Source organism: Homo sapiens, chromosome 1 (assembly GCF_000001405.40).
Source record: "Homo sapiens chromosome 1, GRCh38.p14 Primary Assembly".
NCBI classification, from domain to species: Eukaryota; Metazoa; Chordata; class Mammalia; order Primates; family Hominidae; genus Homo; species Homo sapiens.
The window spans coordinates 205,417,690-205,434,647 of NC_000001.11; the positions used below are offsets into that span (position 1 = coordinate 205,417,690).

General features: G+C 45.5%; 1 protein-coding gene across 9 annotated transcripts in view, besides 2 other annotated features; it reads right to left on the reverse strand.

Annotated features, from left to right (window-relative positions):
* LEMD1 (LEM domain containing 1) overlaps positions 1-16,958 on the reverse strand; it is a 68,589-nt gene that overhangs the window by 36,312 nt on the left and 15,319 nt on the right. For 4 of the 9 annotated variants that reach the window (NM_001001552.5, NM_001199050.2, XM_011510162.3 and 1 more), the window contains exons 1-3: positions 4,301-4,367; positions 2,766-2,885; positions 1,541-1,663 (exon numbers count right to left, since the gene is read on the reverse strand). In NM_001001552.5, coding sequence (NP_001001552.3) covers positions 1,541-1,663; positions 2,766-2,847 — 205 coding nt within the window. In that variant the 5' untranslated portion in view covers positions 2,848-2,885; positions 4,301-4,367. Of the gene's footprint in view, positions 1-1,540; positions 1,664-2,765; positions 2,886-4,300; positions 4,368-16,958 lie in introns of those variants that run through there. The other 5 variants (NR_037583.2, NM_001199052.2, NM_001199051.2 and 2 more) reach the window with 2 other exon arrangements.
* Positions 12,997-13,046: a silencer, noted in NCBI's record as "silent region_1738". NCBI's record gives its function as "represses an Ori minimal core promoter by ATAC-STARR-seq in GM12878 lymphoblastoid cells {active_cell/tissue: GM12878}" and the evidence as "EXISTENCE:reporter gene assay evidence [ECO:0000049][PMID:35858748]".
* Positions 13,267-13,316: a silencer, noted in NCBI's record as "silent region_1739". NCBI's record gives its function as "represses an Ori minimal core promoter by ATAC-STARR-seq in GM12878 lymphoblastoid cells {active_cell/tissue: GM12878}" and the evidence as "EXISTENCE:reporter gene assay evidence [ECO:0000049][PMID:35858748]".

Here is a 16,958-nt window from a genome sequence, read left to right on the forward strand (position 1 = left end):
CCTGGGGAAAGCTTTCAGTATCTGTGCCGCCTCCAATGTCGGGATTACAGGATTTTTCAGAGGGCCCCAGGCACTTGCATGGTTTATCCAGTTTTTAATTTGAACTATATGATATTGTCCTTTTTTTGTAGATCAGACATGGTAAAAAAAAAAAAAAATGTAATGTGGTCACACGCTCACAATAGAAATTACGAGAAAAATGTAGGGTATGGAGTGGAAAGAGCAAAGTTTGGAGAGCCAGACTGGGTCCAAATCTCAGTTCTCTCACTTTCTTTCATCCAACAAACATACACCAAGTTCTGCTATGTGCCTGGAACTGTTCCAGGAGCTGGACACAGAGTGGTGACAAAGACAGATGGGTCCCGCTCTGCATGGCCCGTGCTAACGTATGCTTATCTTCTGGGGCTGCTTCCGAGCTCAGTGATGCTGGGCCAGTCACTTGGCCTCTCTGAGCTTCTACTAAGTGCTGTGAGAGTTAAATGGGATGATGAGCATTCGGCCCAGGTTGCACTGGTGGCCTTCAATAAATGGTAGTTCCTGTCATTCTACTGTGGCTCATAGAGAACTCATGATAAATATTTGTTGAATGGAAATGCCTTGGAATGTATTGTGGGAATCCCCAAGCCCTTCCCCTAAGATCCCTGAAGCTAGAAACCACTGCAGGAGAATGGTGTACCCAGAGCAGGGGCCACTGTCAGCAAAGCCCAGAGATCCTGGAGACCCCTGTTCCCTACCCATTCTGTGACCTGAAAGAGACCAGCTGCTGTCAGTTGTCATATAAATCAGGAGGGCAGTCAGCATAGGAGGGGTTTCAGGGAGGTATAATCTGGTTCATCTTTTTTTTTAGACGGAGTCTCGCTCTGTCCACTGGGCTGGAGTACAGTGGTGCCATCTTGGCTCACTGCAACCTCCGCCTCCCTGGTTCAGGCGATTCTCCTGCCTCAGCCTCCCGAGTAGCTGGGATTACAGGTGCGTGCCATCACGCCCAGCTAATTTTTGTATTTTTAGTAGAGACGAGGTTTCACCATGTTGGCCAGGCTGGTCTCGAATTCCTGGCCTCAGGTGCTCCGCCTGCCTCGGCCTCCCAAAGTGCTGGAATTACATGTAGGTGGGAGCCATCAGTGTGGCTCATCTTTCTTAATAGGCATAAAATCATTTAATCCCCCCAAAATAATGGTCAGATTTATCAACTGAGGCAAAGCAGAAGTTGAGTCCTCAAAGGAGGCCCAGAATTTACCTGTAGGAATTTCTGATTGTAAGGCATCACCACACATTTGGCTCTAGTTAGTAAAAGGACATGCACGTTGAGCAGTCATTCCCCCAACTTTCCACCCAGTTAAGTCACTGGCGTGAATACAGATGTGAAGTTAACAGATTCTTTTTACAGCCCAGGGGCCTATTTTCCAGGCTTTCTGTGCAAAGAGGCCCTATGGCTATTTCACAGGTCAGGCTGCACACCATTTAAAGCTGCATAAATCATGCTGGACAAGGTATTAATAAGTGCAAAGTTGCCATCTAGCAGTACAGCTTATGGCGGTACCTTCGCTGTCATCACTGTCCTGCGCTCCATCCAGCTCTCTGGGTCCATTCATCACAGGTGGTGCACAGGGAGGTGAGACCAACAACTGTACTAACTTTTTTTCATACAACTTTCTGGTGGAAGCTGAGGAAGAATTTGGAGAACAAATTAAATTGTTCTGTTTTTTGTATATGAGCCTACTAGGTTCAAGGTATTTCATAACTCAGAATTTTATTCTTAACCCTTACATTATTGGTTAATTATGGCTTTTATTTGAGACAGGGTCTCACTGTGTCTCCCAAGCTTGGTGCAGTAGCTTGATCTCAGCTCACTGAAGCCTCTGCCTCCCATATTCAAGCGATTCTCCGGCCTCAGCCCCTCCAGCAGCTGGGACCACAGGTTCGCCACCACACTCGGCTAATTTTTGTGTTTACTTTAGTAGAGACGAGGTTTCGCCATGTTGGCCAGGCTGATCTTGAATTCCTGACCTCAAGTGATCCACCCGCCTCGGCCTCCCAAATTGCTGGGATTACAGACATGAGCCACTGCGCCCTGCCCAATTACGGCTTTTTAAATGAGGTAGACTCATAGCTATTCAACTCTCTCCTTCCTTTCCACACACTTAGGTGATACCTGTATGGATTAACCACAGAGTCAGGCATTGGACACATCTGAGAACACAGACAAGGCTGTGCATCCTATCTATGGGGAATACAGATAATAAATAAATAGTTAACAGGGTCCACATACTAAAAACAAAACAAAAAAATTGAACAACATAATAAAGAGTAACTGGTTTTTCACTGATGAAAAACACCCAATCCATGCGCTGGGTGTGGTGACTCACGCCTGTAATTCCAGCACTTTGGGAGGCCAAGGCAGGTGGAGTACCTGAGGTCAGAAGTTCGAGACAAGCCTGGCCAACATGGTGAAACCCTGTCTCTACAAAATACAAAATCATTAGTGGGGCATGGTGGTGTGCACCTGTAATCCCAGCTGCTTGGGAGGCTCAGGCAGGAGAATCGCTTGAATCTGGGAGGCAGAGGTTGCAGTAAGACAAACACCCAATCCTAATCTGTAAATAGGATTTGGGTATATTTACCGCCTCTTCCCTCTTTGTGGTTTTCTGTTTTCTCTATGTTCCTATTTCTATTTTAATGGCTTTACTGCATATGTTCCTTCTATTGTAAGTTGTTTATAAACCATAAATGACAAGTCTGTAATATTTGCTGCATACTGTACATACGTAGTATTGGGCCAGGTGAAAATCCAAGCTTCTCAAGTTGGTTCTGCAATTTACAGTCACTCAGACACTTCACATCCACCATGATGATAGAAGTTTGGCCTCTTTTCTGATGGTAGAATCCTTGAAATAACAAAACATTAAATTCATTAAGACAGCCTTACCAATAAGTACTAAAATGTTACCAATCCACATAAGTGTTTATAATCCTATCTCCCCAACCTCCTAGGTGCACAGGCAATAAAGCAAAAATCAACACTTTCTAGTTCTGCCATAAATCCCTGCTGGGATTAGTTGCCTCCAATGTAAAACTTTGGATGGGTGTCATTTTCCCCAGTGTCTTTAGGGCTCAATTAGTTACAACTGTTCTGTTCAATGAATATGAGAAAAATCTTCTGGACAAAATAAACAGATATTTCCATTACTGCTCAGGAACTCTGAGCAAAACTCAAGCTCTGAGAAGATAAGAAGTTAATTAAATATGAAAGAGCTGAGAGGTTTTTTTTTTTTTTTTAGTGAGTTAAATAAAAGTTATTTATCCCTGCCCTCCTTTTGATGACAGGACAGAGAGTACAGAGCATTCAGTTATTGCAAACAGTAGCAGCTTTCACACTTGTAATTTAACTCTGAACGTTAACAAGATGGTAGTTTTTAATTAACCACCAACAGACTTAGTAATTGCTGAATTGGCATTTGAAAAAAAGTCAGCTATTCATTCTCTGGCACACAAATTGATTCATATAGATTTATGTAAATCTTGATATGGCTTTCCAAATCTGCACAACCTCAAATTCAATCAGTTTTATCCACTTGATCCCTTGATCTCCCAAAGTTGACCCTTCTACCTACATAACAAAATCCGCAAAAAGACAGACCCATTTGTCAAACCTTTTAAAGGAGATTTTTAAATTTTGGAGTTTATTGTACCACATTTCTATCATGTTTCAAGGCTTTTTAATACTGCAGTGGAAACAACAGCCAGATAATTATTCAGCATAGGAGGATCTAGACCAATTTTAAATAATGACTTTGCTTTTGTTGGTGATCAATCAATGTCCAATTAGGAAGAACACTGTATACAAGCTAGAAAAAGTCATGAATTGTTATATATAATAGGGTTGTTCTGGAATACCTAGTTTGACAGTTCTCTACTTTAAAGCCATGCTTTAAAGAGAGTTACATTCTAGTACACATAGTAGGTACCTAGTAAATGTTAGTTTCCTCCTTTTCTATGTGTTTGGGAAACTGACTTAACACTTTGAGGCCAGTGGGAAAAAAACTAATGCTAGGAAGAAAAAGGACAATGCATCTCAGCACCTCAGATTTTTTTTCTTTCTTTTTTACTGGAAGCTTGCTTCGGCAGATCCTATGACATTTGTTCCTGAGAACAGCTGTCTGTTGTTTCACCAGCTTCCCAAAAATAACCTCCAATAGAGCCCTCAACAATTTCAAGTGGCACTAGACAATTGCCTAGAGGGAACACACATATGGAAGAAAAATATTCAAATGGAATCCAACTGGATGATTAATTCACTTACCCCTTCACATGGTTATCTAAAGTCTATGCAATCGAGTTGGTTACTAAAGCTGGGTGAGTTTCACTCTGAGGTTTCCACTAGCAACCAGTCCCTTTTTGCCTGTTAGATATTATGGTAATCATAATACTGACAGTGTGACATCAGTAACCCCCATAGCAACAGATTGATGTGCAAATCAGATGATTAATTTAACCAAAGTTCAAACAAAAGGAGGTACTGGTTGACTTCATAGGCACACTGCCATGATACAATGTCAAGAGATGCGGAGAAGTTATCATTATGCACAGCAAGTAAGGAGCTGCTACCAAACCAAATGGTGTCAAGAAACAAGGAAGAGAAAGGAGAAATCAGACAAACCCAACTGTCTAGACCACCCATCAAAAGGCCCATACTAGTAGTTGGGCAATTTGACCATCTACTCCAGGGAAAATAGGAAAGCGGAAGAAACCTGTATTAATTTGTTAAGGATTATTCAATTAAGAAAATAAGAAATCAGGATGGAGGGCAGATAAATAATAATACATTGCAGAAGTTTGATGGATTTGGCCTTTTCAAAGCATGTTCGTATCATCTCACTTCATCCTCTGGATACTCTTATAAGCCAGCTGAGACAGATATTATCATCTACATCGCAAAAGCCTACTTCTTGTTGTTGTCTTATTTTGTTTAAGGAAAGATCGGTGAGACTATTAGCCTGCATCTTTCAAGAAAGACTGCTTAGATTTTAAAGACGTGTGCAAGACAAAATGTAACTGTGAGAAAACGCAATGCCTTCATTAAATTGCAGGATAGAGGGAATGATCTGAAAGGGGTGAAGAGGACAGTGGAGACAGCCTGCTTAGAGTCAAATCCCAGTTCTGCCATTTACCAGCTGGGTGACATCACATCAGGTAAGTTACTAACTTCACTGTGTCTCCTCCTCTTTGTCCATAATGGGGGATAATAAAAATGGTACCTGTATCAAAGGGCTATGTTATTCAATGAGTTATAATACACATAAAGTGCTTGGCACATAGAAAGCATTATATAAATGTTTTCTATTATTCTACTCATGAGCCCTAGCCCCAGAGAGTTTCCACATCCGGTATTTTCCTCAGGAGGCTTCATCTCATTTACACTTGCCCGTGGGAGTCTGTAGTTTCAGTCCTTTCCAGATTCTGGGAAAGAGCTGAACGTCTTTGGGTGGGTGGTTATGAAGGCTCATTGAGTCTCCCAGGCTGTGGCTCCAAGGGCTATGGCTCCACAGTTTCTGAATAGAGCATCAGTTTTCAAACAAACATGTAATGCAAATATTTACCAACATCCAAACATTGCATTCACCAAACAAAGACTTTGAAAATTGACACATTTGTTTCCATCAAAGCAAATAAATGATAGGCTTGGGTTATTAGGAGGCACAAGCATTTTGTTTACATTTCCCAGAATTGCTTTCAACAAAAAAGCAGCCAGCAGGTGGAACTGCTTCCATTTAAACAGTTAGACTATTGGGATGAAACAGACATTTCTAAAATATTTTCTTGGTTAAATCTCTGGGGTTTAAAACAAGCTAGGTAGAGAAGGATTAAATCAGATGATTTCAATCAACATCTATGGGTTGCGCCCTATATTATGTGCAAACTATTCTGCTTGAAATTATTCTCTTGAAAATCCACCAGCATAGTTATGATTCTATTGTCAGCATTATTCCATTTATGAATTCCTGTACTCTGTGCTATCCTGAAATATTTGGTTTCATTGCTTGCAGCACACCATCTCCCTCAGTTTTATCTGTGCAGTCCTGAGCATTAGCTTGTTTTTTATTTTTCATTCTCCCCATGGCTGCAAAGATATTTTATTCCATTTCTTGAGGGAAGCAAGTTTTAATTGAGTAGGTATTCAACATGATAAGGTACCTAAACCCTGAGAGCTTCCTCCTTTCATTAAAATGTAGATCCAATTTCTCTTCCCTTAATGCCACATGCTGGTATTAAACTGAAATAACGGAAATAGTAAAAGCCAGATGTCACTTCAGTCTCAGGTTTGACGTGGGGCACAATTTCCTCTCCTCAAATTTAATCTTTGAGTTATTTACTAACCCCATTCTTTGGAAGAATGCACAATTTAAATGTAAATGCAATTTACATAGGGGAGAAGATAGTAGATTTGCAGTTGCAATTGCCAATAACCATTTGCAAAAGGAGAAATCAACTAAAGCAAAGATCAGCAGTTGTCAGTCTAAAGCCCGCATCACTCATCATTCTCAGATAACTTCTGAAGCCACCTGCCTCTGAGTCTCCACTATGCAGGCAAAAGGAAGTGGAAAGCGGAGGCATTTCCCCAGATATTTCAGGCCGAATTTACTGCTGACCGGAGGGAAAAGGGAGAAGTTTGGGTTTCAGTGAGCTGATCTGGTTGGCATCATTGTTGAAATCATTAGCTGATCAATTTCTTTCAAAAATTATTTGTTGATCATCTCCTGTGGGATAGGGGTTATGCTTGGCCTAAATCAAGGAGAGGTAGAGGAGACTACAAAGATGCAAAAGCTATAGCCCCTCTTTCAAGGAGCTGACTGTCTCCTTAAAGAGAAAAGGAAACAAATAGCTACAAAAAATAAGATAAAGAGTGAAAAGAATGCTGCAGGAGCCCAGAATCTGAACCATAAGCATCCAAAGGTACATTGAAGCTGAGACTTCGAGGATGAGCAACAGTTTGCCCTATAAACAACGGGCTGGGGACAGACATTCTAGGGTGTAGTGAGCAAGACAAGAAGTAAGTCGGGTTGAATAGGTGGATCCCTCCAATTTGTGAAGGATCTGGTGTGTCACACTAAGGGCTCTGCCTTCACCTCTGGGCACACGTAGAGGTTTATAAATAGCTCATGGTATAATTACACCTAGTTTGATATCGAGTGGAGGATGAATTGGTAAGGAACAGTCTGGAGGCTACAAGACTCCTTGGAGGTTATTACAACACTCTAGAAAAGAGATGATTCCATTTGGGGGAGGACTAGAGAGGAAGACACACGATTCATGAATGATTTAGAAGGCAGAATAGCCACAACAGGATGGCTGATTATGTGTTTCCTCCTCACTTCACTTGCACAGGCACCATCTCAGTACAAATCTTTTGTCTCAGCCATGAGCCTGCTTACATAAGGAACCATATGGAGTTTGGTCTACACAGCACTGACACTTTAAAAATTATTCTGCACTTGTCTAGTCAACCCTTGATTATCTACACTACTTGAAGCCAGCAGCAATGCAGATAATCCATAACCCTCTTCTATTTGGCTTCGGAATTAATTACACCTTTTAGAGCAAATTTGCTTTCCTAATTAATCTTTCCTAGGCTAATATTAAAATTAACTAATATTCTCTGAGCCCATGCCAGCTGGGCAGGGGAAGTGGGGAGGTGCGGAGGGGGAGGACAGGGAAGCAGCTCAGGCTTAAGCTGAGCAGCAGGAGGATGCCAACACCACATTAAAATTCACCACGGATCATCCGCAGAGCTCGTGAGCCAGGTCTAGCTCGTTGAGAGGTGGCTGTATAATTAAAGACTCAAACCCCTTGGGAGTTCAGTTACTGAGCACCTACTACGTACCAGGCACCCTGCTAAGGCTGCAGATGAGGAAACGAGTGAGCCCAGTAGACTCCACTCTCAAGGAGCAGCCGGTGTAGTGGGGGAAATGGAAGAGTAAACAGAGCCTTTACTCAAATGCAGTGAAGGTTCTGGCAGAAGCATCTTCCCTTCAAAAGCATGAGGCATGAACAAGGTTGACAGAGGGAAAAAAACAACAAATGTGTATAACAAAGGGGAAAATGCTGCCTAATTGCCATTCTATAAACATAATAGCAAATATGCTTTTAATAAAATGAGTGCATATAATTTCTCCTTTCAATAATCCAAATTAGTAAATTCTTTTTATATGGAGTAAGATGTGATTTTTCCTAGCAATTTTTGAAACTATGATACTCCAGTTCCAAGGTTTCCTCTGCAGTGCCTGGAGCTACCATGGAGGGGTGGGGGACACAGAGCAGCTCCACTCCAGGGGAGCCAGAACAACTCCACCCTCACCTGCTTTACACACTGGACTCATATGAAGAGTACACTTAAAGGAACACTTTCCCTGCTATACAAAGTTAGGAAGATATCCATCTACCCTATTTTCTGAGCTGCTGCTTAAAACCTAAACGGTCCTAACCTCCCGTCCTGTCATGAAGGCAAATCTGACCTTTGATGCTGGTAAACATGAGCTGGGGGCTCCTTTCCTGGTATCCTATGAGTCCTGCATACAGAGATTTATGATACAAAAACCGCATGCAATAAATTGTGGACAACCCACAGGGATAGATAAACATGTAAGATGTAGTTCTTCAAACGGATTACATTCTAAATGGAGAAACCAACCAGAAACACTCATGAGCAAAGGTAAGAAGTGAAAGTTCATAATCAAATACCAATAGAGTGGTAGCCATAAATGCCAAAGAAGGTCAGAAACAGAGAAAAATCTCCCCTGGTTGGGGGTGGTGTTGTTCAGGGAAAGCTTCCTGGAGGAGGTGGAACTCAGAGTGGGAAGAACAAGTAAGGTCTGGATTGGCAGGAAGCAGAAGGATGGGCATCGTAGGCAAAGGCATATCATGAACAAGGCTTGGGGGTAGAAGTGGGGATGAGACCAGGCTGGCTTCAGCGAAGGATGTGCTTTAGCTAAATGGATGGATACGGTTGAACTAGCTTGCAGAGAGCTCCAGGATTTCCCTGAGGGTGTTTAGGCCCCCAGGTCCCTTCAGGTTCCAGGATCCTTCCGGTCTGGGGCCCTCTGAAGCTGATGATGGGTTGCCATCCTGGAGGCCTCTAAAGAAGGGTGTTCAGGGCTGTCAGGAAGAGTAATCTAGCAAGGCAGGGCAGGATGGGAGAAAGAAGGCAGGGAGAGAGACCAAGTGTGTCCCTCACCCCAGTCACTCTGTGAAATGATAATGAACAGTAGTGGAGGAGATGCCGGGAGGCTTTTGATTACCAGAGTCACCAACCAGGAGCTCAGGAAGCCCCAGGGAACCTTAAGAGGCAATTTCAGAGTGGTTAGGAGAACAGGCTCCGGGGTCATACTGCCTCTGGTTGTATCCTGGATTTTTGTATCACTGCCTCCATTTGTGTCACTTACTAGCTGGGCCCTGGCTTTCACATCTGTGAAATGGAAATGTAGTCATAACAGTACATTCCTTCCAGAATTTTTAAGGACTGAGTTAACACATCTCAGGAGCTAAAAACACTGTTTTCTTTAAGTGCTCACAGTAAGCGCTCACAAGTGTGAACTGTGAGTAAGGCCTCAGTATGACAACATGGCTCTGGGGTCCTGCACTGGGATTCTTGCTGATGAGGGGACATCACTCATGACTGGGGCATCTCCCCATCTCATTTGATATCATAGCTCACCCCTTTACCTGGAAACTCAGGGAAACTGAAAGTAGCTTCTCATAATAAAGGCCAGTTGGAATCTGCTTTTTCTCAAAAGAACATTTGAGAGAGAGAGAGAGAGAGAGAGACAGAGAGAGAGACAGACAGAGCGCACACTCAAGGGAATGGGTTTTCACCGCAGTACACGTGGTAAGGAGCAATGTCATGAAATAGGAGACCACACAAACCAAGATGGCGAGAACATTGTGGGACATCCATTTCTGTCCTTAGAATCCAGGAGTGTTGAATTCCCATGGCTTAAAGGAGACTCTGTACCAGCAGGGATCTGAAGACAGTCACAGAAAGATAATAAAAGTGGAAGAAAAAGAAGACAGAAAAAGTAGTAGCATGAAATGGAGAAGGAATGAGGCTGAGATGGAAACTCTCATGGCTGATACACAGTCTGTACATGCAGGAGGATCTCCAAATTGACCTGGCCTTCTAGCAGCCATACAGAAAAACTCTAGTCAATTCCATACTCGTGAAATGGAAACAAACAACTGTTCCAGAGCATTATAACGGTTCCTGGTACTAAGGAGAAGTGTGGATGTTTCCTGAGGATCCCGAGTATGGAAGGCAATTGGGTGACTGGCAACGGGTGAGGCTGGAAGACTGGCAGAGGGCCAGACAGCCAAGGGCCTAGGAAGCAGGATAAGGAGCTCTTAGGCTTTATCCTAAGACAGTGGGAGCCACTGAAGATTTTATGGTGGTTTTTTGTTTCCATAATTTTAAAACATTTAAAATAAACAGAAGTCAATTACAAGCAAGTAAAGTCAAAGCATAATGAAACCCACATATACCCCTCACCCTGCTTCAACAGTTGTCAACATTTTGCCAATCCTGTTACCAAAAAGCTTGGAGCAGGGGAGTGATGCCATGACAGTTATCTTTGAGAAAGAGCCCTTGAGGTGCTACGGAGGGGATGAGAGGAAGGGTGCAGGACTGGGTACAGGGATATCGTTAGGTTGCAGCAAACCATTCCTTCATTCATTCAACAACTATTTCCTGAACCCTACCACATGCTTTGCACTAATTTTGGTGCTATGAATACAAGGTTAAATAAAGCAAACGAGGTTCCTGCCCTCCTGAAGCGTATTGTCCTAGGAGGGAAAAGCAGACACACAAGCAAATGGAGTGAACGAGAACCTTTCAGAATGTGATAATGAGACAGACTGATGTGACAGGGAAAGGCTTGGGAGGAAAGCGCTCTGATTTAGACTGGATAGTCAGGGAGGACCATGTGTGTGTTCGTGGAATGGCAAGAAAAGTCAGGGAGGCTGGCAAAGCATGAGAGAGAGGGTGGTAGACTGGAGAGCAAAGTGACAAAAGATGCTGGCTTGGACTAAGTAACTAGGTGGGGATGAAAAGAAATAGATTTGAGGGAGATTTAGAAGGGAGAGTCAATAGGATTTGAGAATTTGGTGACCTATCAAAGGTGGGGTGGAGAGTGGAGAGTGGAGAGTGTCAGGAATGAGTCAGATTTCTGGCTTGAATATCTCAGTAACCAGAGGTGCCCTTCTCTGAGACAGGGAAGAGAGGTCATGGGAAAAGTCCAGATCTCCACATGGCTCCCTCACAGCCTTTCAAAGTGAGGGCCTGGCAATGGGAAGCCACTTCCACCGCCAGCCCCAGTCAAGTAACCAGCTATCCATGCAGCTTCTGGATCAGACAGTTGCCTCAGGCAATTCCAAGTGATCATCACCACCATCCCTTACCCTCCACAGGTGGCCCCAACCCACCTCCATCTCCAATGACCTAGAGAGTATGGAAGGACACTTCTGGTCCAGTTTAATTTGCTTGGGCAGCGGAGGAGATGAAGGAGATGCTGCAACTATTTTAACACAGCCTTGTGGGGAGGGTGGGTATGTTGAACTGAACCAGAGGAATATGATATCCACGCTGGTGGTGTGTTTCAAAGGCTGATCTTATCATGATGGTAGGGGTCCTCTGAAGCCTTGTCAATGTCTCAGGACATTTTGTGGCTTGGCTCATTTCAATGCCGCATTGTGTCAGGCAGATATGAGGGCTGAGATTTGAAAGGATCAGGATTTTGCTGGGAGGCCATATGCAGCTCTGGGCTAGAGAGAAATCTGGAATTAGAACATCCATTATGCCCTCACACTGTGACTTTTGCATGGGGGACAGATTTATTAGAAGAGGCATAAAAGATGGCCTGTGGAGATAGCCGGGGTTGGGGGAGGAAGAGACCCCCAAATGCAATCTAAACCGGAGATCACAGTGGCTAGCACAGGTCTGTTTCTGGAAATGACTCCTCTACTCTCCTTAGCATGCTTTTTAGCTATTATCTGTCCTTGCCGCACCTTACCCGAGAAGGGCATTTTTCTCGGCTATTTTGATGTTGGGGGGTGGGGGGAGCAGGGACAGGCATTTGGGGTCATTGTCTGGGAATGAATCCTGGACAGCAGGAGGCTGCTGCTCTCACTCCTCATCCCCATCATCTGTCACCCAGCGAGGGCAGCCGGCAGCCAGGCCGCGGACTGCCTAATGAAGACAGAGAGGTGGTTCCGGCTGTGCACAGGTGTCGCTTCCCCATTAACAGAGGTGACATTCCGAAACACTACTCATTACAGAGCAGACATTGGACAGGGCTGGGACACATATTAATGGCAGCAGGGCCAGGCAGCGTCTGTCTCAAATCCCACTGCCCCTGAGAGAGCAATCGAGAGAGCAAGAAAGAAGCATCCTGAGTGTCAAACCAGCAGGCTCCTCACTTTGCAGAGAAAAATGAATTCTTGCCACATAGAAGGCCAAGTCATTCTCTCTGCTGCTTGCACACCCAAGGGTCCTCGGCTTCAGGCCCGCCCAAGCGCTGACCAGCTCCCGTAGAAGCCCCCAGCTCCTTCCCTCTTAGGAAGGGCTGTGTTGAAGACGGCTGGGCGGAGGGGCATCCTCAAATCAGACCTGGATCTGAATGGAGCCCATGAAGTCTTGTTTTAGAGATGGGCATGGATCCCAGTTGTAACTAGGAAGTATAGAGGGAGGCTATGGAGAATTTCCAGACGTTGTCAGGGACGGGGTGGGAGAGTAGGGTAGGGGTGGACAACCAAAGTCATCCAGAGGAGGTAAGAACAAGACAGATCTTCCTCCTGGAATGGGATGCGTGGTTCCCATGAGACAGGAGAAAGCCGCCCATCACCGTGGAGAACCAGGAATGGCAGACCACGCGGACGCCAACAGTTTACGCAGCTCCCCAGCTAGGTGCAAAGTGGCCAAAGGAAGAGCCGGTCTTCCACACGCACACCTCCGCGCCCACACTGCCCCAGGAGCTTCCCACTCAGCCGGGGGACCCCCAAGCAGCCGGCGAGGCGCACTGCGCACGCGCACTCAGGCCGCGGCTCCAGCCGCCCTCCCTCCGCAGTGGGGCGCCCCGCCCCCGCGCCGCTCAGTTTTAAACTCGCAGCAGACGGAACTCGACTTAAAAATAACTATTTTGACAGTTCAGATGTAAATATGTGAGTGACGCGTGGGGCTGTTTTTCCTTCACACTTCCCCTCACCCCTCGCTCCCTACCCCAGCTCAATTCGGCTGAGGCTGAGATGATGGGAGAGCGCCGTCTGCAGGATGCTCCCTAAAATGCAGCAGGAGGAAGAGACTTGTCCTAGAGAGCCCAGCGAGCTTGGGGGTGGGGCGGAGGACCCCCAGCTCACTTTCACTGCACAGGTCACACGCCTTTTGGGGATAAGCAGATTTACACACTATTTCTTGTCTATTACCTGAAAAAGGAGACGTTAGCCAACACACAAGTGAACTAATTTAATCATTCCTGACCTCTCCGTACCCAGTTTTCAGTTCAATTTGACCTGTGCATATTGACTGAATGTCTACTTCGTACCCAACACCGTGCTAGATGCAGTGCAACATGTGACACGTGCAACATGCACACTTGCGATTCCTAATTTTTTCAACGAACCTTCCAGTTAACTCATATTGAACACCTGCTTTGTGCCAGGCCGGGAGCTAGGTAAGCACTTGAGCACAGGCTATCTGACTTGACCCCTGCAAAAACTTGTGGATATTATTATCTGCATTTTCCATATGAAAAACAGAAGTCTAGGGAGATTGAGTGACTTCTCTAGGCCGCCACAGATAGTAAAGACAACAAGTCTTGTGCTCTTCCCTCCATAGCCAATTGAGTGGAAGGTTGGTGGAGGCAGAGTTCCACCCACTTTATAAGTAGGGGAAACTGAGGTCCAGACAAAGTCGCATGTCTGTCTGGTCACCAATACACATTTTAGCTGGGGCAAAGCCAGGAGAACAACACGGAAGCTTTTTTCTTTCTTTCTTTCTTTTTTTTTGAGACTGAGTCTTGCTCTGTTGCCAGGCTGGAGTGCAGTGGTGCGATCTTGGCTCACTGCAACCTCCGCCTCCCGGGTTCAAGAGATTCTCCTGCCTCAGCCTCCAGAGTAGCTGGGACTACAGGTGCGTGCCACCACACCCAGCTAATTTTTGTATTTTTAATAGAGACGGGGTTTCACCATGTTGGTCAGGATGGTCTTGATCTCCTGACCTCGTGGTCCACCCACCTCGACCTCCCAAAGTGCTGGGATTACAGGTGTAAGCCACCGCACCCGCCCAACACAGAAGCTTTAGGATTACCAGCCTGCAGTCCCTTCCCAATCTTCTGGTCCCAGGCAATGTGGTGGGGTGTGACAGATAACCACGTGATATCTTTGAGGTTCTCACTGTCTCTTTGGAAGAAGGGTAGGGAAAAGGTAGCAGGAGAAGAGTTAGAGAAAGGAAGAGGAAGGGAAAAGGAGGGAGGAGGGCTGAAGAGTGGACAAGCATAAGTGTGTGTAGACATGCATGGCCTGGCCAGGTAGTGCAATGAGATAGGGAAGTTCAGAGAGCCCCCAGCCACTCCTCCTTTGTGTGCTCCCGGTCTCCCACCGGCTTGGGCCTCTCCCTCCTTGGCCCAGTGTGCACTGCTCCCAGGCTCTTTCCCCTCATCCTAACAAAACCTGCTCCAAGAGGGAATCTGAGGTAATCACTGATGCTGTGGGACAAGTGCCTGAAAACTGCCCAGTGGTTGCTTCCTTTCTGGATTACAAACCCCAAGAGATCAAAACCTGAAGTCAAAGAGAGGAAGCACTCATGAAATTTCAGATGTCAGACTTTGGAGAGGAGAGGAATTTGGGAACAATAAGGCTTACCTGTGACAGAAGAGGCTTCCTATCATACCTGCCAGCAGGGTCATTGCTAGCTCTGTCCGTGCGTACATACAGCCATGGGCAGAAGTCTGTAGACGCTGGCAAAGAAGAGAGGAGGGTCCCCGGGAAATCCCACCTCAGCCAGGCACAGTGGCTCTTGCCTGTTATCCCAGCACTTTGGAAGGCCAAGGCAGGAGGATAGCTTCAGCTCAGGAGTTCAAGACCAGCCTGGGCAACATAGTAAGACCCTGCCTCTACAAAAAACTACAAATAACTAGCTGGGCATGGTGGTATGTGCTTGTAGTCCCAGCTACTCAGGAAGCTGAGGTGAGAAGACCACTTGAGCCTGGGAGGTTGAGGCTGCAGTGAGCCATGATTGTGCCACTGCACTCCAGCCTGGGCAACAGAGCAAGACCCTGCCTCTAAAAATAAAAAATATAAAAATTCCACTTCTTATGTGATGCCTTCCCTGATTCTTCCCTACTCTACAGTTGTGTTCTCTCAGGACTCTGAAGCCCTGGAGCACTTTGCTTGTACTTTAGCTGAGGCATTTTTGAGCCTTGCCACATTGTTTTCTAAATTATTATTAAATTGGCCAGGCATGGTGGCTCACACCTGTAATCCCAGCACTTTGGGAGGCACTTTGGGATCACAAGGTCAGGTGTTCGAGACCAGCCTGACCAACATGGTGAAACCCCGTCTCTACTAAAAATACAAAAATTAGTGAGGCGTGGTGGCGGGTGCCTGTAATCCCAGCTACTTGGGAGGCTGAGGCAGGAGAATCGCTTGAGCCCAACAGGCAGAGGTTGTAGTGAGCCGAGGTTGCGCCACTGCACTCCAGCCTGGGCAACAGAGCGAGACTCTGTCTTGGGAAAAAGAAAAATAATATTAAATTGTGAGTTTCTCGAGGGCTGGAGCAATGTCTGGCTTTCCTACATTTCTCCTGCAGCCCCTCCCACAGGGCTTTGCATAGGGCCGGGACTCAATATTGATAGAACAGATTCAGTCAACAGCAGTGCACAGCATACATTTCCCCATGCAAGAGGGTGAAGGCTGGGCTGCAGACAGCAGAGGGACTGGGGCAGGCATCTTGGCGGACTCCTGAAGATGGAAAGGCTTGGGGTCATATCTGCCCCAGACCACTTAACAAACACTTAGTGAGCGCTTTGTGCTAGGCATCATGGTGGCTGAGCCTGCAGAAGAGGCAGCCAGCCCTCTCAGGAGCAGTCAATCCACCGCTCTAAACAACAGCTGCCTGTGTGATACTTGAGTCTCGTCTTGGCCCAAATCACTTCTTGCCTTACAGGAGACTGGCTTTGGGGTTAGACTTGATGGCCTGATCTCTCCGCCCTCTCTCAGGGCGTCCTGCTTCAGAGATCATTGGAATCTCTGTTCCCCCATCCAAGTGGAGTTATGACATAATAATTCTTTTTCAAACAGCTTTATGGATATATAATCACATACATGATATAATAATTCTTGTTCTTAATGTTATGCCATCTTATAGCATCTTTCTCTCTTTTATAAGTCTGAAAATTCCCGTGTGTTCTGTGAATACAGTCTTAGGTTCTGAGAAGCCCAACTAAGGATTCTTATCTTTCTTTTTTTTTCTCTCTCTTTTGAGACAGGGTCTTGCTCTGTTGCCCAGGCTGGAATGCAGTGGCATGATCTCTTCCCAGGCTCAAGGGATCCTCCCACCTCAGCCTCCCAAGTAGCTGGGACTACAGGTGAATGCTACCATGCCTGGCTAAGTAAAAAAAAATATATATATATATTATATATATATATATTTAGTAGAGACGAAGTCTGGCTATGTTGCCCAGGCTGGTCTTAACTCCTGAGCTCAAGTGATCCTCCTACCTTGGCCTCACAGGCATGAACCACTGCGCCTGGCTCTTTCTCTTTCTTAAAAGCACCTTTAAGACTATGTGATCACATTGTAGTCCTAAACCACCTTCCCTGTTCCCCACACCCACCCACTCCAGCTGGCTTTATCCCACCATTATTTCTGAGATGGTAAGAGGCATGAGGCCTGGCTTCCTTCAGTTTAGAGATAGCAC